The sequence below is a fragment of the Homo sapiens genome, chromosome 2 (genome assembly GCF_000001405.40).
Source record: "Homo sapiens chromosome 2, GRCh38.p14 Primary Assembly".
NCBI classification, from domain to species: domain Eukaryota; kingdom Metazoa; phylum Chordata; class Mammalia; order Primates; family Hominidae; genus Homo; species Homo sapiens.
Genome location: NC_000002.12, coordinates 232,991,176 through 233,012,196, shown reverse-complemented (window position 1 = coordinate 233,012,196; position 21,021 = coordinate 232,991,176). Strand labels below are relative to the sequence as shown.

Sequence of the window (21,021 nt, the reverse complement as noted above, 5' to 3'; positions counted from 1 at the left end):
TCTGCTTTTTGGGAAAATCCTTAATGCAATAAGGCCACTGGTGGGAATGTTCCAGCTTGGACACTTGCCATGTGTCTTTGTCCTCCCTGCCCCTTCTCTCTTTCTCTCTCTCTCTCTCTCTTTTTCCATTTAGGCTTCCCCTTTGCCCATGTCTCAGGCTGCCCCTTGGCACTGCTTAGCTCTGAGGAAGTAGAAGCCAGGGTCCCCTTGGGGGTCAAGCTTTCTGGTCCATGAAGGGAGACCACAGACCACCTCCCTCCACCGCACTCTCCTCCCACATCCCTTTCTGGAGCCCAAATTGTCATGGGAACCCCTCCCAGGGAGGGGATCCCCACAGGAAAGCCAGGGGTTGATCCAATGACAGTGTGAGTAACATTCCACAGCTTTCTGCCCCAGTGGGGCTGGGGACACAGATGAGGCTAGACATGGGGGAAGATGAATTGCTTTAAGAAGAGCTGATGCATGCCTGTAGTCTCAGCCACTCAGGAGGCAGAGGCAGGAGGGCTGCTTGAGCCCAGAAGTCATGCGGTGGGCTATGATCATATCACTGCATTCCAACCTGGGCAACCTGGCAAGACTCTGTCTCTGTTCCTTTTTTTTTTTTTTTTTCATTGCTTTAAGAACTTCCCTTGGCCTGTGGGAGACCGGAAGCTTGTACCAGTAACAAAATAGCCCAGATGTTGTGGGGCCACCCAGAGCCTCTCAGAGGAGACCAAACCTAACCACCCAAGCCTGCTGGCTCTACCAGGGGCGCAGGAGCTGCTGTTTGTCCCAAGAAGCTGGTGAGCCACCAGCACCAAGTCGGACATCCCGTCTCCCAAGATGACGTCCCTTCCCCATCTACATGGGCCCATTGCTTCCCGAGTAAGGAGTCAGCTCTGATGCTCTGAAGTCACCCCCCAGCACAACCCCAATGGCAAAAATTCCTTTACTCCTTCATAGATAATTGCTGTGCACAGTGTATGTGTGAGGCTTTGAAGTGGGGCTGGGGACACAGATGGGACAATGGTGGCCCTCAGGCTAGTGGAGATGAAGCGATGCTGTGTCCCACACCCCCGAGGCCAGGCCAGAAACCCCGCTTGGTGAAAAGAGCACACCAGCCCTCTCACCCCAACAACGGTGATAGGATCCTGAGGCTGAGAGGCACCGTGGCCCAGCGGAGCAGGGGGTTCCATCTCTGAGCCTGGATGGGCTGCCTCTTTTCAGACCCCCCTTCTCCCCGCACCTAAGCCCCCTCTGCTACCATGATGGTGTCTTCAGGAGGCTGCTGGGCCTCAGGAAAAATTCCTTCCCTTGGCCTGGGACCACCTCTCCCCACCTTGGGAGAGGTCAGACCAGGGGGTGGAATTCTGCCTCCAGACTGGAGGACCCACCCCAGAAGGCTGAGGACTTCAGCCTTACTCCTCCTCCCTTTGTTTGGCAGCCATCCTGGAGGCCAGGGCCGTGGGAGACCACATGGGGTCTGAGCACTGAGGAGGGGCCATTTGCTGGAGCACCCTCTGTGGGCTGCTTTTGGGAAACTAGCTCAGGTGGTTGATTAAGGACCTGGGAGCCTGGGTGAGGCCATCTCACAATCTTCCTGCCTCAACTCACTTTGCCTGTGGACAAGGAAAAAAAAAAATCACACGTTCAAATGAGGAGGATGGGCACCATCAAAGGGATGGATGATCAGCAAGGCCTGCATGGAGGAGGTGGCCTCTGAGCTGGCCATCATTCAACAATCTTCCATCACTTATTAATGATTTTCCAGGAGGAGGAGAAGAACTGGGGGTGTGGTTTGATGTATTATAAAGCAAGCATTACTACCTTGAAAATAAGGTAGTAATTCTTTTCACACTCACTCAGAATGAATGCTCCAGGTTCTCTAAATAGCATACGTTCACAGATAGCACATTCCAGGTGAAGGGACAGCAGGGTTTTAGCAAAAGGGAGGGAGCCCTGCAGTAAGGGTTGGGCCAGTGGAGGCAGAGACAGGGGAGGCATGAGGTCTGTTTAAAAGATGCCAGCTGGGCGTGCTGGCTCACACCTGTAATCCCAGCACTTTGGGAGGCTGAGGCGCATGGATTACCAGAGGTCAGAAGTTCAAGACCAGTCTGGTCAACATAGTGAAACCCCATCTCTACTAAAAATACAAAAATTGGCATGGTGGTGGACCCCTGTAATCGCAGCTACTCAGGAGGCTGAGGCAGGAGAATGGCTTGAACCCAGGAGGCAGAGGTTGCAGTGAGCCAAGTTCACGCCATTGCACTACAGGCAAGGTGACAAGAGGAAGACTCCAATTCAAAAAAAGAGAGACAGGACAGGTGGAGTGGAGGGAAGGTGGAGGGGATGGCCCAACCCAAGATGCCAGGACCCCAGAGGTCCACAGAGATGAGAGTGGGGGTCTGGATGGCCAGCGTGTCCCATGGGAAATTCATCCCTCACTTCTGCACCCTGCACCTGGTGGCTGTGCCTCAGTTGCCTTCACTTTGGGCTGGAGCTTCATGCACCAGCACCATGTCTCCCAAAGCTAGAAGCTCTGACCTCCAATCATCCAGGAGTTTTACTTTTTTTTTTTTTCTGTAGAGATGGGTTCTCACCATCTTGCCCAGGCTCATCCCAAACTCTTACACTCCAGCAATCCTCCCACCTTGGCCTCCCAAAGTGCTGGGATTAGAAGAGTGAGCCACTGCACCTGGCCCCAAGTTGCTGATGAGTTTAAAAATGGGTATATGAACCGGGTGCAGTGGGGTGTCCTGTAGTCCCAGCTACTCTGGAGGCTGAGGTGGGAGGATCGCAAATTCAGATCCAGCCTGGGCAAAATAGCAAGACCCCCATCTCTAAAAATAAATAGATCAATAAAAAGGAGTTTTGGGCAGCAACATGGATAGAAGTGGAGGCCATTATGTCAAATGAGATAAACCAAGCATAGAAAGACATATATCTCGTGTTCTCACTCATATGTGGGAGCTAAAACTGTGAAGTGGGTCTCATGATGACAGACAGTAGACTGCTGGTTACTGGAGGCCAGGAAGTGGAGCAGGGACGCAGGGATGAAGGAGTGAAAAAGAATAAAGATACTTATTGTCACTGAACTGCACACTTAAAAATTATGAAGATGGGCCGGGTGTGGTGGCTCACACCTGTAATCTCAGCATTTTTGGAGGCCAAGGTGGGCAGATCACTTGAGGCCAGGAGTTCAAGACCAGCCTGGCCAACATGGCAAAACCCTGTCTCTACTAAATATACAAAAATTAACTGGGCGTAGTGGCACCTGTAATCCCAGCTACTCGGGAGGCTGAGGCAGGAGAATCACTTGAACCAGGGAGGTGGAGGTTGCAGTGAGCCAAGATCAAACCACTGCACTAAGCCTGGGCCACAGAGCAAGACTCCGTCTCAAAAAAGAAAAAAAAAAAAAGATGCAGATGGTAAAGTTTTTTAAAAAAAGGAAAAAGAAATATCTATTGAAAAACTGAAAAGAAACAGAGGTGCCAATTCACTATTAGTTAATGAGTATGTTTCCTACCAGAGACAAATCCTTCAAAATATAGGCTCTGCAGAAGGGCAAGCAACTTGGACAGTGCCCTTCAAGGGATGAGAGAAGCTTGGGAACCACAGAGGCAGTGACAGGGGATATGGAAGGCAAGCTGGGCCTAAGGCCCTTGACCCCCAGGTCCCGCCCCAAAGTGGCCAGGGTCAGTCCCAAGGTGCTGACTTTTGGAGTGTTGCTCTATCTTATGTACAAGTTAGTGCAACCTGCTTGTATCAGTCTTTCAGGCTACATGACAGTGAACTCCATGAAGGCCAAATCCCTGGAGAGTACCTCATGCAGCCCATCAACAAGCAATTGCTGGATGCAATTGCTCTCTGGGCCCAAAGTGAAAAGATGGCAAAACTGCCTGCTCCTCTCCCAAGCTCTCCACCATCATTTCAGACCCCCACAACTGCCTCCATACCCTTTACCGCAATCCACATAAGCAGATCAAGAAAACTCAATTTCCTACTCTCAGCTGATACACTCAGTGTTGCTGAGCGAAAATAGATTCCTATTAAATCCCACCAATGGGGTGAAAAATTTCCAAGTATTTGAAGTTTTTAGAACCCTCACATATGGGTTTTATTTTTCAGGATGCTCCCAAGTCATAAATCCACTCATGAGAGTGAGGACAAAGATCAAGACAGTTTTGCTCTCATCTGAGTGAGAAAAACATTCCTTGGTGGATTCTTGAGCGTTGGAGGAAAGCCTTCCTTTCTGCCAAGTTCCTTTTTAGGAAATTAGCTTTGGACTTTAAAATGATTTTAAAGTTGTTTCTGGATTGAAAAGGGCATCTGGCGCCTGGACAACTTTTCCTGGTGCCTGAGATATCAGAGCAGTCACTTGCAACTTTCTACAGATTTCTGGCCTCTTTGGAAGCATTCCTAAATCAAGAGCAAAGTCATTCGCCATTGGCCACCTTGGGTTCCAAGTCAAGGGTAAGAAATGGAGCTCAGGGTCATAATGAAGTCGTTTGGATGCTCAATCTAAAATCAACAGGCTCATCTAGGCTGTGTTTGGGAAAACATTATTATAGCTAATTTGTGTATTCATTGGAGAAATATCACAGAAAATGCCAAAATTAAGTAGCATGCATAGACAGCCAGCATCTTCTCATGTGAGCAGTGCTAGGGTCCTGCCAGGTTAAAAGCCCCCGGTGTGCATCCTCCTCCCTTTCTCAGCCTTCACTAGGCACCAGTTTGCGCTGCTCTTCTCTGTGAGTTGTCCCCACTGGAGACCCACGATCAGCCTGAGCAGGGCTCAGACACAGAGCTACCTGGCGGCTACCTGGCGGGCCAAAGGGTTCTTCCTAGAAACCTAGGCTGGGCCATTATCTACCTTTGTTCCCCCTCCAAATACTCTGTGATCGTTAAAGCTGTTTTCTTGAGAAACGCTATTTGCTTTAAAAGTTAGAATTGTATTTATTTATTTATTTATTTGAGACAGGGTCTTGCTCTGTTGCTCAGGCTGGAGTGCAGTGGTGGGATCATGGCTCATTGCACCCTTGACCTCTCAGGCTCAAGCGATCCTCCCATCTCAGCCTCCCAAGTAGCTGAGACCACAGATGTGTGCCATCACATCTGGCTAATTTTTGTATTTTTTGTAGAAATGGGGTTTCTCCATGTTGACCAGGCTGGTCTCGAACTCCTGGACTCAAGTGATCAGCCCGCCTCAGGCCCCAAAGGGCTGGGATTGTATACAAGCATGACCTACCATGCCTGGCCCAACATGTTTTAAATTAAAGGTGGTGAGAAACAGTTTAGAAATCATGTTTTTAAGCACTTTGCTGGAGCTGGGCTGCCTGGGTTTGAATCCCGCCTCCACCACCTGCTAGCTGTGTGACCTCGGATGAGTCGGTTAACCTCTCTGACCCACCATGCTCCATGTCCTCCTCTCTAAAAGTGAAAGAAATAGGACAAGTACAGTAAAGATCATACAGGATCGCCATGAGTGTTCAATGAGATGGTGCACAGAAAGCTCTTGGCCCTTGCAAAATTTTAGCTATTATTTTCCTGATATGCCATGAGAAAGAAAAAGGATCACTTTTTCCAATACAACAGTTAACTTTCAGCAGCATTTATTAGTGAATTTATGAGTGCACATAGTTAGAGGATTGAGCACTAAACAGGAATGTGTACACAAGAACCCTCAAATATCAAGAGAATCAGCTGTCTGGGAAGATTTCACCAAACCAGCTCCTCATACTCTGTGCTTGGCTAAGTTGGAGGTGCCCCCTTCTTTTGATGATGCCATTCAAGCTTACCTGTCATCAGCCCAGAAGCCTCTACAACCCCCAAATCTCCCTTGAGGCACCTGCACATTAGACCCAATGATGACTTCCCTCCAGTGAATAATATTGCTTGAGAAGTGAAGGCATTTTTCCCAGCAAAACCCTGATGCTCCAATTTTTTCAAAAAATGGCTTGGTAAATGCTGGTGTGGAAAGAGTTTTGGGGAACTCAATAATGGTGAACCCAATAGAGCTAGAGCTCCATCACTAAGAAGAGTGTGTTAGCTTTCAATTGCTGCTGTCAAAAATTACCACAAACTGTGGCTTAAAACAATGCAGGCCAGGCGCAGTGGCTCACGCCTGTAATCCCAGATTTTGGGAGGCCAAGGTGGGCGGATCACTTGAGGTCAAGAGTTCGAGACCAGCTTGACAAACACTACAAAACCCCGTCTCTACAAAAAATACAAAAATTAGCCAGATGTGGTGGCAGGTGCCTGTAATTCCAGCTACTTGGGAGGCTGAGGCAGGAGAATCGCTTGAACCCAGGAGGCAGAGGTTGCGGTGGGCTGAGATCATGCCACTGAACTCCAGCCTGGGTGGCAGAGCAAGACTCTGTCTCAAAAAACCAAAACAAAACAAATCAAAAAACAATGCAAATCTTACAATTCTAGAAGACAAGAAGCCCAACATGGCTCTCACTGGGCTAAATCCATGCTGCTGGCAGGACTGTTTCCTTCTGATGGCTCTGGGAGAGGATGTTTCCTGCCTTTTCCAGCCTCCAGAGGCTGCCCGAACTACTTTGCTTGTGGTCTCTTCCTCCATCCTCAAATCCAGCAGCATAGCATCTTCAAACCTCTCTCTGACTCTTCTGCCTTCCTCTTATAAGGAGCCTTGTGAATATACTGCATCCACCTGAGTAATCTGGGATAATCTCCCCATCTCAAGATGCTGAACTTTTTGCCACAGAAGGTGGCCTTGTAAGCACATGGGCATCCACGCTGGAAGGAGTGGTCCTGTGGGTCAGGAAAGCCTCACCTTCCCAGCTGAGAATCTGGGCAGAAGTGTTTGGTAGGGTGGCTGCTTCCTGCTGGTGCTCAGGGCCTGTGTTTTGGGGGTGTAGAGACAGCCCCAAGGGCACTGCTCCCCCACTGCACTCTCCATGTGGGAACACATCTGCGGAGCGACCTGCCAGCTCCAGCCCTCCTGATTGTAACCATGGGGCACTCAGAGCCCCATAGCTGCTCAGACTGGGAACTTACCAGTCAGTATCCCAGAAATGGCACATTGGGGGCATCCATGTGTTGGTGCTGATCCATGCTAATGGTTGCCCGCAGAATCCATCGAGGACAACGAGACCCAATCTAGGTTGGAAGGGAAAGTGTGCTGTGATAGGTTAGCAATGTCTGTCCTGACGAAGGAGTAGAGAAAGGTGGTCCGTGTGTATCTGATCTGCCATTCACACTAGGAAGAAAGTCTTTTTTTTGTTTTTGGTTTAAATTTAGGGGGCACGAGTGCAGTTTTGTTACATGGATATATTGCACAGTGGCAAAGTCTGGGCTTTTGGTGTAACCATCACCCAAATTTTGTACATTCTATCCATTAAGCAATTTGCCTCAACCAAATGTCCACACAGCCCCGAAGAAAGGCCCCCAGCAGGATGAGGAAGGGAAATTGAGGCAAAGCCGAGCCTGATTCTCAGCGATGGGGGGTGAGGGGAGAGGGAGCAGGGGGAAGGGGAGGGAAGGTAGGGGCCAGTAAGGGCAGGTAAGGCATTTGGGCTGCTTCCTAAACGCCTTCAGGAGTGTTGTGAGCATGGGTGTGACGTGATGCACTATGTGTTTTTCCACAAAGGACCAGGTTTGGGTGTTTTCTGGGGTTCCCAGCAGTTACCTCATCTTTCTGCCCTGATGGCCTTGACAAGCACTCCACACTAGAATCTAGACAGGAAGAGGACCCTGGAGGGCAGAGCAGATTCCAGGGGGCTGAAGGGCAGCTCCTAGCCCAGATCAGCCTGGAGTCAAGGCCAAGAAGTGCTGCTGCTGCGACCAGGGGATGGGGAAGGGCTGGAGGAGGCCATGAGAGGGCTGCAGCTGTCCCAATGACATGCTCAGGTGTGTGGGTGCAGGTGGAAAGCAGGGAGCATGGGAGGGGTCATTGGGAAGCAGAGCAGAGGGAGGAGTCCCCAGAAGAAGGGAAGGGGTGGGAGAAGCCGGACAGGTGCCTGCAGGGCTGCAGGGTCAGGGGCTGCTGGAGAGTTCCTCTCTCCAGCCTCCAGCTTTCTCAAGGACCTTGGGTACAAGGACAGAGGGGCAGGTGAGGTGGGAGGCTGGGGGAACTAGAGAAGTTATGACATGATCGTGACAGAGATCAAGGGGGTGCTTGCTGCAGAAATGAAGTCGGCTTGCTGGCCTGTCTTGCAGAGTGACTGAATCACTGTGACATCTGTCTGCCCTCACCCAGGCAAGGAGGTCAGAAAACTCCAACATGCATTAAATGCTGGGTCTGTTGGTTAAAAAGGCAATTCAGGGGCCACACAACAAGGGCCAAGTTGGAGCAACAAGCTCGGGCCAGGGGCACAACCACCAATATCGGGTACATGTGATTTGAACACCTGCAGTGTGTGCCAAGTTCTGGAACATCCGAGATCCCCATGGCTGGGACTCAGGGCGCCTCCTGGATGGCCTCAGCTTGGCACTTTTATGTTGTATTGTGACCATCTGGCCTGCTGGGCTGGGCCTTTGCGTCTTTGTTTCTCCAGGGCCTGGCCCTGGGCAGGTGGATTTTCAGTGAACATTTGCTAGAAGAGAAAGGAGCCGATGGATGAACAGACGTCTCCATGGACTTCAGTGGGGGTGGTAGGGCAGGGTGGTATGTGTGTGGAGTGGCTTCTCAGGCCAGCCCAGGAACAAATGGGACTGAGTCCTCCAGGAAAGAGCCTTAGAGGATATTAGCAAGGAAGGGGAAGGTGCAGGCAGGGCTGCTCCAGGCGGATACCCGAGGGTCCATCTAAGCTGCGAACCATTGCCAGAACCTAGTCAGGAGACGTTTGAAGAGAAAAGCCAAGAGAGGGAGAAGGAGAATTCAGGAAGGATCAGAAATAGGCTGGGATCGACATCAGAGGGAAAGAGCACCCCGCGCTGCTGTGGGTCTGGGAGCAGAGGCCAGTGGCCTGGAGACTGGGCAGCCCCACCTGGGGCAGCCACCAGGTAGTCCCAGAGGCCTTCCTTGGGGTGGGGAGGCCCCAAACACTCGCCAGAGCTGTCTTGTATGCACCAGGAATGCTCCGCCACCTCCCGGGAGGGTTTGGGTTATTCACGATTAACTCACATGGATTCCTGGGCATGGGCAATCACGTGTCAGCTAAAAAGGACTGCAGGAAGCTTAGGGGGCCGAGACCCACTTGGGATTTGGTGAAAGGCGTGCACCCTCCCCCTAGACCTGAACAAACACACACTCTGCACCCCCTTTCCGGAGATGTGCAGACTCGCTGAGGTCAGTGTAAGAAGGGCCCAGGCTCCTCAGAGTCCCCCAGGGGGCTTGTCACAGTGACGCCTGGGCCCCACCCTCCAGGCCTCCAGGTAAACCCAAGAATCTGTATTTCATTAAAGTTCACAAATGCTGTTGCTGCCACTCACAGTGGACCAGGCTGACATGAAGAGAGGAGGGAAGGCTTAGCTCCGAACAGAAACATGCTCTGGTGTCTGGCTTACCGAGGTCATTTCAATCTAGTGTTTCCTGAACGTCAATCAATTGCTTTCTACATTTACAATATTCTGTGTGTGTGTGACAGGGTCTCTCTCTATTGCCCAAGCTGGAGTGCAGTGGTGTGATCATAACTCACTGCAACCTCCTGGGCTCCAGGAATTCTCCCACGTCAGCCTTCCAAGTAGCTGGGACTACAAGCGTGCACCACCACCCCTGGCTAATTTTTTATTTTTTGTAGAGACAGGGTCTTGCTATGTTGCCCAGGCTGGTCTCGAACTCCTGGCCTGAAGTGACCCTCCTGCCTCGGCCTCCCAAAGTGCTGGGATTACAGGCATGAGCCACCACGTCTGGCCACATTTACAATTTTTAACATGTCCATGTACTGCCTGTCTTATTAATATTTTCTACAGATTGCCTTTAAATTAAATTTCTTACTTCATTTATTTTCATCCTAAGCTTTAATATCTGTGAAATCACAGGTTTGATGTGCTAACTGGGTTTTTTTCTAGAATAAGTAAAATATTAAACTACTGATTTTTTGAACGTTTGACTCGTGTCCCTCCTAAAATTACCTCACAGTTACCGGTTCAACTCCCATGCAGCTGGAAGGAGGACAGGAGGATCTAGGGTTTACCCAAATCCTGTGACTATTTTAGATGAGAGACGAATGGAAAAAACCACAGCCCCCAATGTCCCTGCCATTACTGCTCACTTTCTTTTTTTTATTTTATTATTATTATTTTTTAAGACAGAGTCTCTCTCTGTTGCCCAGGCTGGAGTGCAATGGTTCAGGGCAACCTCCGTCTCCCGGGTTCAAGCAATTCTCCTGCCTCAGCCTCCCAAGTAGCTGCAATTACAGGTGCACGCCACCACAACTGGCTGATTTTTGTATTTTTAGTAGAGACAGGGTTTCACCATGTTGGCCAGGCTGGTCTCAAACTCCTGACCTCAGGTGATCCACCCGCCTCGGCCTCCCAAAGTAGCTGGGATTACAGGCGCACGCCACCACACCTGGCTAACTTTTGTATTTTTAATAGAGTTGGGGTTTCGCACGTTGGCCAGGCTACTGCTCGTTTTTAAAAACACATCTGCCTCTTGAAAAACTCACTCACCCAAGCCAGCATAGAAATCCTGGCCTTTCTGCCCCATGGCCCGCACGACCTCATCACCCTCTGCCTCCCTCTCGCCTTCCGTTCTCGCTGGCTATTCCCACTCTCCTCTCTGCCCCCCACCAAGGCCCCAGCACCCTCTACATGCCTGAATCCCTCCAGCCCACTCCTGGGCTCACATCCTCAGGAAACCTTCCTCAGGTCTGAGTCACCTCCCCCTACCTATGGGCCCGTGGGGAGACTCACAGGCTCACATGAGGATGTGCAAAGGTGCTTTCGATGCTTCTAGCACTGCACACTTGAGAGAAGCTTCCAGAAGGGAGAGGCTTATATTGGGGGTGATGAGAGATGTTAGGAGTTGCCTCCTGCCTGCTCTGCTGGGCCTGAGCGAGAGGTCTGTCTCATGCCTAGGAACCTGCCACGGTTGCACTCAATGCCACTCCAATCCTCATCTCCGGAAGGGGGAATCTGGTTGGTTCAGCCCAGCCTCTGGGTTGATTCCTCCTGGGCCAAAGCTCCACCCTGCTCTGGTCAGCTGTGGCCAGTGGGATGGGGGGAAGTGGCACTCAGGATGGGGGGAAGCCCCCTCCAGGGCTGAGGACAAGGCAGCTCCCAAGGAAGGGGCTCGGGAACAGGAAGGTGAGATGGCTGCCTCTGGTACAACACTGGTTCACGGCGCCGTTTCGAGAAATCGGGTTAAACTGAGACTTTCCCAACCAGAAATCCAAGTGTTCCCTTCATTCCTTCTCCAGTTGTTATGGGCTAAATGTTTGTCTCCCCCTAGAATTCAGCCGTTGATGCCCTAACCCCCCGTGTGATGATGGTATTGGAGATGGGACCTCTGGGAGGCATTTAGGTTTTTTCGTTTTTTTTTTTTTTTGAGACAGAGTCTCGCTCTGTCGCCCGAGCTGGAGTGCAGTGGCGCGATCTCGGCTCACTGCAAGCTCCGCCTCCCAGGTTCACGCCATTCTCCTGCCTCAGCCTCCTGAGTAGCTGGGACTACAGGCGCCCGCCACCACGCCCGGCTAATTTTTTGTATTTTTTTTACTAGAGACGGGGTTTCACCGTGTTAGCCAGGATGGTCTCAATCTCCTGACCTCGTGATCCACCCGCCTCGGCCTCCCAAAGTGCTGGGATTGGCATTACAGGCGTGAGCCACCTCGCCTGGCGGCATTTAGGTTTAAACCAGGCCATGAGGGTGGGGCCCCATGATGGAATCAGTACCCTCATAAAAAGAGGAAGAGGCTGGGCACGGTGGCTCACACCTGCAATCCCAGCACTTTGGGAGGCCAAAGCAGGAGGATCGCTTGAGCCCAGGAGTTCAAGATCAGCCTGGCAACATGGCAAAACCCCATCTCTACAAAAAATACAAAAAAATTAGCCAAGCATGGCAGTGTATGCCTATAGTCCCAGCTACTCAGGAGACTGAGGCGGGAAGATCGCTTGAGTCCGGGTGGTGGAGGTTGCAGTGAGCTATGATGGCACCACTGCCCTCCAGCGTGGGTGAAAGGCCCAGTGAGGACATAGAGAGAAGGCAGCCTCTGCAAGCCAGGATGGGGCCCTCACCAGAGCCTGGCCATGCTGGACCCCTGGTCTTGGACTTACAGTTCCAAAACTGTTGTAAAATACATTTCTGTTCTTTACACCACCTAGTCTACAGTATTTTTTATGGCAGTGTTAGCAGACTAAGACACCAATATTAGTGTTGTCATTTTTAGCCGACCTTTTTATAAATCTCCCTGACTATGGGTTAATAAAGGAGTTCACAGCAACCCCGACATGCAAATGACCCAATGACTAGAATTCAACAAAGACCCAGTGTGTCATGCCAGCCCCTGCACATAAACATCCCCACTGGGCTTTGGAAATGATGTTCACCACTTTTACGTAGCGTCTGCCTTGCGCTGGGCCTGGGAGCTCAGCAGCCCTGGCCCTCCTCCCTCTGGCTGGGGTGGCAGAACTTGCCCACAGGCGGGAGCTTGCCAAGGGCGGAGGCTCGCTGAGCCACTCATCCTAGAAGGTGCAATCCTTGTCCCCAGCTCTCTCCCTCTGGCTCATGCCCTGTCTGATGGCAGGGAAATGTGAGAGACACAGTCACACATGGCAGCAGCTGCTGGACTTCACTTGAATAAAATAGGCACCCCTCTCCTCTCCCACCTGGCTTAGAGTGGCTGCTGTCACCAGCATGTCCAGAGGGGGCAGGACTCAACAGTTCCACCCACCAGTCCCCGACACAATGCAGCATAGATGTCATTTACTGGGTCAGAGACAAGGGGAGGGCTCTGACAGACACTCGATTTTTTTTTTAACTCTATATCCAATTTTTATATTGAACATTATATACATTTTACAACCGTTGATTCTTTATACACCAAAAAGTAAAAACTATTTTAAAAAGCAGATCATTCACTTAGTTGCAAATAATAAAAAGGGCAGCCTGGGAGGATTGCCATGGTGAGTGTCTGCCATGCCCATCATCATAATCTCATTTAATCCCTGCAGTATCACTGCTCAGATGTGGGAAGCTTCCAGAAGGGAAAGAGGCCAGAGGAGAGGCAAGTTCAGGTTTGGAAAGATGGGGGATGTTAGAAAATTCCCTTCTGCCTGCTGTTCCGGGGTCCCAAACCAGGAGACCCTGTCTGTCTCATGACCAGAGGCCTAGCACAGTGTGGCACGCAGTTATGCTCATTGTATGAGCGGGCAGAACCCACCCACTGAGGACCCCATATTGAACCTCATACCATGAACTAGATATGCAACATCACCCTACAGATAGGACCAGAGGCTCCTGGGGTGTGTCGAGTGCCCAGGGAGACCTGGCCCGGAGTCCTGCTAGGACATGCTGGGAGGGAACACCTTCCTAGGGGTGTTAGACATCAGAAGAAGAGAGACGACTGGCCTGGCACCTACAGGGCTGCACAAGAAACAGGAGACACCCACCCATCCACCACCACAGCCACTGTGGGAAAGACACCTGCCACTGCTTTGAGCCCCTGCCCCCAAACTGCCCAGGGCCCCCTGTGTAGAAGGCTTCACCCAGCATGGAGGGAGAGCTTTACTGAGCGGACTGTAGCCCCCCTATGGCATGAGCCGGCTGGTGAGTGCCAGGGCTTAGTTCCCCAGAGAGAGCCAGGCTTGCCTTGTCCTGGCCTCTGGCTCTGTCTCTGGCTGCGCTGTCCCTGGTCTTTGCTCTTTGACTGGGGCAGCCATGCTTCCTAAGCACATGCGCCATGCTCCACCTCGCAGGCAGTCTCTCCACCTCCCCTGTGCTGATACCAGCCATACCTTTCTTCTGGGACCTGGAAGAGCCTGGTTTGAATCCCACCTCAGCCACTTACCAGCTGTGTGATCCTGGACAATTTACTGAGTGTCTCTGAGCCTCAGATTCAATAGTAGCCACCCTACTCCCACCCCATCCCCTGGGGTTGTTGTGAAGATCAAATGAGCTCAATGGAAAGGGCCTATCTCAGCGCTGAAACTCCCACTGCGGTTTCCTCTGGGAAGAGGGGGAAGAGCATCGCTGCCCAGGGCAGTTCCTCTCCAGGAGGGTTTGTCTCCACCACCACCTTCTGGCCTGGGTCCCTGCTGCTCTTCTCGGCCCTGTGACCTCCTGCTCAGAAACCATGGGGCAGAGAGGGGCTGCAGGTGGCAGAAGCCACCCCCTGTCCTATCGGGGCACGTTTCCCAAATATGGCTGAGGACTTGTAGCGAAGCTTGCCAGGATCACCCACGGCCACCTGTGGGTGGACCTGCTGGTAACGCTCGGTGACGCCAGGCAGAGGCGTGGGCTATTCAACATACAGAGCACAGGGAAGGTGCAGCCATCTAAACAGAGCCATCAGCTAACACCCCCGAGCAGGAGAGATTCCAACAGAGGAAAAGGACAGAGGGTGGGCCCTGGAGAGCAGAGGGCACGAACAGCAGCAGGGTGGCTGGAAGCAGTGGGGAGGCCAGGTCGCCAGAGCCTTGCCTGAAGCCCTAGGGGATGGCAGGCATCAGAGAGAAGAGGGAGAATGTGGGATGCTTCGCCAGAGCCCTTTCTGAGGGAGAATAGGGAGTCGACTGGTGCCGTGAGCAGAAATCTACGGTGGATATTTCTGTGTTCTAGAAATCTCCACTGTAGGCCCAAGGAGGGTGCATATTCCCAAAGGTGCCCGGGGGTTCTGGCTTGGATGCCAGCTTCACTTCACTTTGACAGTTTCACTGCAGAGGCCTGTGTCACCTCAGGACCCCGCCCTGGTCTCCACACCACCCTGTCCCTCCAACCCCTGTGAGGCGTGCTGCCCCTTAGCGATTCCTAAAAGCAACAACAACGACAAGGGCAGGCTCCTTTTCCAGAGAAAAGAGAATTCTCACGGTGTGTACCCCAGTCTCAGCCCCAGCAGCAGCATCTGAGAATGTGTTAGAAAAGCAGGTTCCCAGGGCCCGGGTGAGACTTCCTGAATCAGAAGCTCTGGGCCCAGCAATCTGTGCATGAACCCTCCTGGTGATCCCCAGGCCAGTGCCGGAGTGAGAACCACTGCCACACGGCACTGAGAGCAAACCACCTACAAGGACCCAGTGCTCAACTATGAGGGTGCACTGAGGAAGGACGCCAGGCACAAGAGAGAACGTTCAGAATGATTCTAGTTCCATAAACTGTTAGAAGTCAGAGGTCACCCTTGGGGGCAGGGAGCAGTGACTTCGAGTGGGCGTTAGGACACTTTCTGAAGTGGCAATAAAGTTCTCCTTCTGCATCTGGGTTGAGTCTGTAAACATCCAGCAATCTGTACACTTAACATGGGCTCTTTATGTATCCTGCTAAAATTTTAAAAAAATCTTTTAACCATAAGAAAGGGTAAACGATGCCAGGCGCTGTGGCTCACACCTGTAATCCCAGCACTTTGGGAGGCTGAGGCAGACAGATCACCTGAGGTTAGGAGTTCGAGCCCAGCCTGGCCAATATGGTGAAACCCCGCCTCTACTAAAAACACAAAAATGAGCCAGGCGTGGTGGTGCGCTTGGCTGTCTTTTTGTGTGAAACCATCAAGTTATACTTTGTAGGTTATATGCAAATGCTACACTATTTTACAAAGGGACTTGGACATTCATGGATTTCAGTATCTATGGGGGTCCTGGAACCAATCCCCCCACGGATACCAAGGGAAGACTATATTTAACAAGCTCTTAAACATGTGAGAATCACTGCGCTCAGCGGCCTCTCTCATAACAGCCCTCGGTAGAAATCCCTGCAGCCTTAGCACTAACACATTTCCCAGCAATTGGTCGGTTGCTGTTGTTGTTGTTGTTTGTGTTGTTGTTGTTGTTGTCTTGAGACAAAGCCTCACTCTGTCACCCAGGCTGGAGTGCAGCGGCACAATCTCAGCTCATTGCAACCTCTGCCTCCTGGGTTCAAGCGATTCTCGTGCCTCAGCCTCCCGAGTAGCTGGAATTACAGATGTGTGCTACCACACCCGGCTAATTTTTGTATTTTTAGTAAAGATGGGGTTTTGCCACGTTGGCCAGGCTGGAATTGGTCAGTTTTTATACCTGAATGGAGTAGAATGAGTCACTGACACATTTCTCCTTTTCATGTTGACTGCCAGGAAGCTTAGGGAAGTTTGAGCCCATCCACACTAGAGTCTTTGTAATACAAATTTCTTAACCTTATCCCCCATTCAGTTTTACGCTCACACCCTTTTATTCTTTCTTTTGTCCTCTTTTGGATTTATGCTGTGTTGGATAAGTGATATATACACATATCCATATATGTATTATAGTGTATGTATTATATGTGTATATACATACAATATATTATACATATACATATACACAATATGCATGTGTATTATATGTATACATATATTATACATATACATATATGTATATGAATACATATAATACATATACATATTGTGCATATGTATATGTATAATATATTATATGTATATACACATATAATACATACACTATAATATATATAATACATATATACACTATAATACATATATACACTATAATACATATATACAGTATACATACGTATACATACTGTATATATATACAGTATACATACTGTATATATATATACAGTATACATACTGTATATAGTATACATACTGTATATGTATACATACTGTATATATATACAGTATGTATACTGTCAGTATACATACTGTGTATATATACAGTATGTATACTGTCAGTATACATACTGTGTATATATATACAGTATACAGTATACATACTGTGTATATATATACAGTATACAGTATACATACTGTGTATATATATACAGTATACAGTATACATACTGTATATAGTATACATACTGTACACATATACAGTATACATACTGTACACATATACAGTATACATACTGTACACAGCATACATACTGTACACATATACAGTATACATACTGTACACAGCATACATACTGTACACATATACAGTATACATACTGTACACAGCATACATACTGTACACATATACAGTATACATACTGTACATATATACATACTGTACATATATACATACTGTACACATATACATACTGTACACATATACATACTGTACACATATACAGTATACATACTGTACATATATACAGTATACATACTGTACATATATACAGTATACATATATGTATTATACATATATGTGTAGTTATACATATATGTATATGTACATATAATACATATGTATGTATTATATGTGTGTATATATCCATGTATGTATATAATACATGTGTATGTATGTATTATATGCATGTATATATCCATATATGTATATGTGTATGTATTATATTTGTGGATGGAATAGTATCTTCTATGTTAATTTGTATAATAATGCATAAATAAAGCAGCTCCCACATACTGAGTGCCAGCAGTGTGCAACCTCACATCAGTCCCAGGAGTTGGATAACATTTGTCCTCCCTGCAAGACATTGGAGCAACAGGAGGCCCCAAGGGGAACCCACATGCCCAATGCATTCAGCCAGCGAAGGGCCGAACGGGGATGACAAGCCATGCCTGGCTGGCTCCACTCCCCGCTCCCAACACCCACAGCTTCCCCGGTGTCATATGGCAAGCTGTGGGAACCACCAAATTCTTTCTCAAAATATTCTGTGATTTGAAGAAAATATTTAATGCTTTAATTCCTTTGGAGTTTACTTAGGAAATTTATTATGAAGGCTTAAGTTGACATTTTTCCCCAACTGTTAACCAGTGTTCAAAACTTCTATTGATATCCCTCTATTTTTTTAATATCTTTTTTTTTTTTTTTTTTTGAGACAAAGTCTCGCTCCGTTACCCAGGCTGAAGTGGGGTGGTGCAAACTCGGCTCACTGCAACCTCCGCCTCCCGGGTTCAAGTGATTCTCCTGTCTCAGCCCCCTGAGTAGCTGAGATTACAGGCAGCCACTACCACGCCCAGCTACTTTTTGTATTTTTAGTAGAGATGGGGTTTCACCATGTTGGCCAGTCTGGTCTTGAACTCCGTACCTCAAGTGATCCACCCAATTCGGCCTCCCAAAGTGCTGGGATTACAGGCATGAGCCACCGGACCCAGCCTAATATCAATTTTATTGGGATAAATTTACATTTCACACAGTTTACCCATTTATGGTGTACAACTCAATGTTTTTAGTATATTCACAAAACTGTGCCATTTTAGAACATTTTCTCACCTTCCCAAAAGAAATCCCATCCCCATTTGCAGTCACTCACTCTGCGTCTCCCACAACCCACCCAGTCCTGGGCAACCATTCATCTGCTTTCAGTCTCTGTGGAGTCTCCGGTTCTGGACGTTTCATATAAATGCAATCATACAATATGTGGTCCTCCCTGACTGGCTTCTTTCACTTAGCAAAATGTCTTCAAGCCTCCTTCATGTTGTAGCGTGTATGAACAATTTCTTCTATAGCTTAATAATCTTTCACTGTAAGGATAGATCACCTTTTAATTACCCATTCATCGGCTGACAGACGTTCTTGGTGTTTTCACTTTTTGCCAGTTATGACTCATGCTGCTATAAACACGTGTGTACATCTTTGTGTGTGGATGTATGTTTTCATGTCTCTTGGGAACAGGCTTAGGAAGAGAATTGTTGAGTCATATGGTAACTCTATGTTTGATCTTTTGAGAAACTATCAGACAATTTTCCAAAGTGCCCCAACCATTTTACATTCCCATCTGCAGTGCATGAGGATTCCAATTTCCCCACATCCTCATCAGCACTTATTATCATCCATCTTTCTTTTAACAGCCACCCTAGTGAGTGCAAAGTGATATCTCATTGTGGCTTTTATTTGCATTTCTGATGGCTAATGATGTTGAGCATCTTTTCATGTATTTATTGGCCATTTGTATGTCTTTTGGAGACATGCCAATTCATATATATGGGCAAAGGATCTGAAAATATACATATATATGTGTGTATCTATACGGGCAAATATATATATAAATAAATATATATATTTATTTATATATATAATATATATATATTTGCCCATATATATATAAATAAATATATATTTATTTATATATATATATTTATTTATTTATATATATATTTGCCCGTATAGATACACACATATATATGTATATTTTTGAATATATATATTTATATATTTATGTGCGTGTGTGTGTGTGTGTATATATATATATATACTTCAGGCAGGGTCTCGCTCTATCACCCAGGCTGGAGTGCAATAGCATAATCTGGGCTCACCGCAACCTCTGCCTCCTGGGTTGAAGCCATCCTCCCACCTCAGCCTCCTGAATAGCTGCAACTACAGGTGTGTGCCACCACATCCAGCTAATTTTTGTATTTTTTGTAGAGAGGGGGTTTTGCCATGTTGCCCAGGCTAGTCTCAAAGTCCTGGGCTCAAGTGATCCTCCTGCCTCAGCCTCCCAAAGTGCTGGGATTACAGATGTGAGCCACTGTTCCCAGCCCCGTATTTTAATTGGGTTATTTTTTATTATTGAGTTGTATGAGTTCTTTATATACTCTAGGTACAAGATTCTTATCAGGTGTATGATTTGCAAATATTTTCTCCTATTCTGTGAGAATTTTCTTTTCTTCTTCTTTTTTTTAAATTTTGTTTTGTTTCGGACAGTCTCATCCAGGCTGGAGTGCAGTGGCACAATCTCAGGTCACTGTAACCTCTGTCTCCCAGGCTTGAGTGATCCTCCCACTTCAGTCTCCCAAGTAGCTGGTATTACAGGTGTGCACCACCACGCTTAGCTAATTTTTGTATTTGCAGTGGAGACGGCGTTTCACCATGTCGACCAGGCTAGTCTTGAACTCCTGACTTCAAGTGATACATCAGCCTCGGCCCCCCAAAGTGCTGAGATTACAGGCATGAGCTACCACCATGCCCAGCCAAGAATTTTCTTGGTGGTGCACTTGGAAGCATAAAAGTTTTAAATTTTGATGACGTCCAATTTATTTTCTTTTGTTGCTTGTGCAGCTGGTGTCATATGTAGGAAACCATTACCTATGCCAATGTCAAGAAGATTTAGTTTTCTTCTAAGAGTTTTATGGTTTTACCCCTTACAACTAGGTTTTTTATTTATTTTGAGTTAATCTTTGTATATGATGTGAGGTAGGAATCCAAATTCATTCTTTGGCCTGTGTCTACCCAGTTGTCCCAGCACTATTTGTTGAAGGCAACTATCCTTTTCTCATTGAATGGTCTTACCACCTGTCAAAACTCATTTGACCATAGATGTATGAGTTTATTTATGGATACCCAATTCTATTCTCTTGACCTAAATGCCTATCCTGTGCCAGTACCACACTGTCTTGATTACTGTTGCTTTGTAGTAGGTTTTTAAATCAGGAAGTGTGAGTCCAACTCTGTTCTTTGATTGTTTTGGCATGAGTCTCTTGAATTCCCAGATTAATTTTATGATCAGCTTATCAAGTTCTGCAAACAAGCCACCTGGGATTTTAATCAAGTCGTGTTGAATATGGAGATCAATTTGGAGAGTATTGCCATCTTAACAATATTAATTTTTCTGATCCATGAAAATAGGATATCTTTCTACTTATTTAGGTCTTCTTTAATTTTTTTCAATAATATTTTGTAGTTTCAGCATCTAAATGTTGCCCTTCTTTTGTTAAATGTATTCCTAAGTACTTTATTCTTTTTGATGATATTGTGTATTGGTTTTTTTAAATTTTAATTTATGGTTTATTCCTTCCTGCTATACAAAAATACAATTAATTTGTGTATATTGATCTTGTATTCTGAAACTTTGCTGAACTTGTTTATTAGTTCCAATAGTTTTCTGGGGTTTTTTGTTTTTTTTTACTGGATTCCTTAGAATTTTCTATATACAAGATTATGTTATCTGCAAATAGAGATCATTTTATGTCTTCCTTTCCAATCTGAATGACATTTTTTTCTCTTGGCTAAGGGTCTTATAACCTCCATTATAATTTTGAACAGTAGTGGTGAGAGTGGGCATTCTTATCT

General features: G+C 47.6%; 1 protein-coding gene across 2 annotated transcripts in view; it reads left to right on the top strand.

Moving 5' to 3' along the window:
• Positions 1–21,021, top strand: part of NGEF (neuronal guanine nucleotide exchange factor) — a 134,556-nt gene that overhangs the window by 1,060 nt on the left and 112,475 nt on the right. The window lies entirely within an intron of this gene.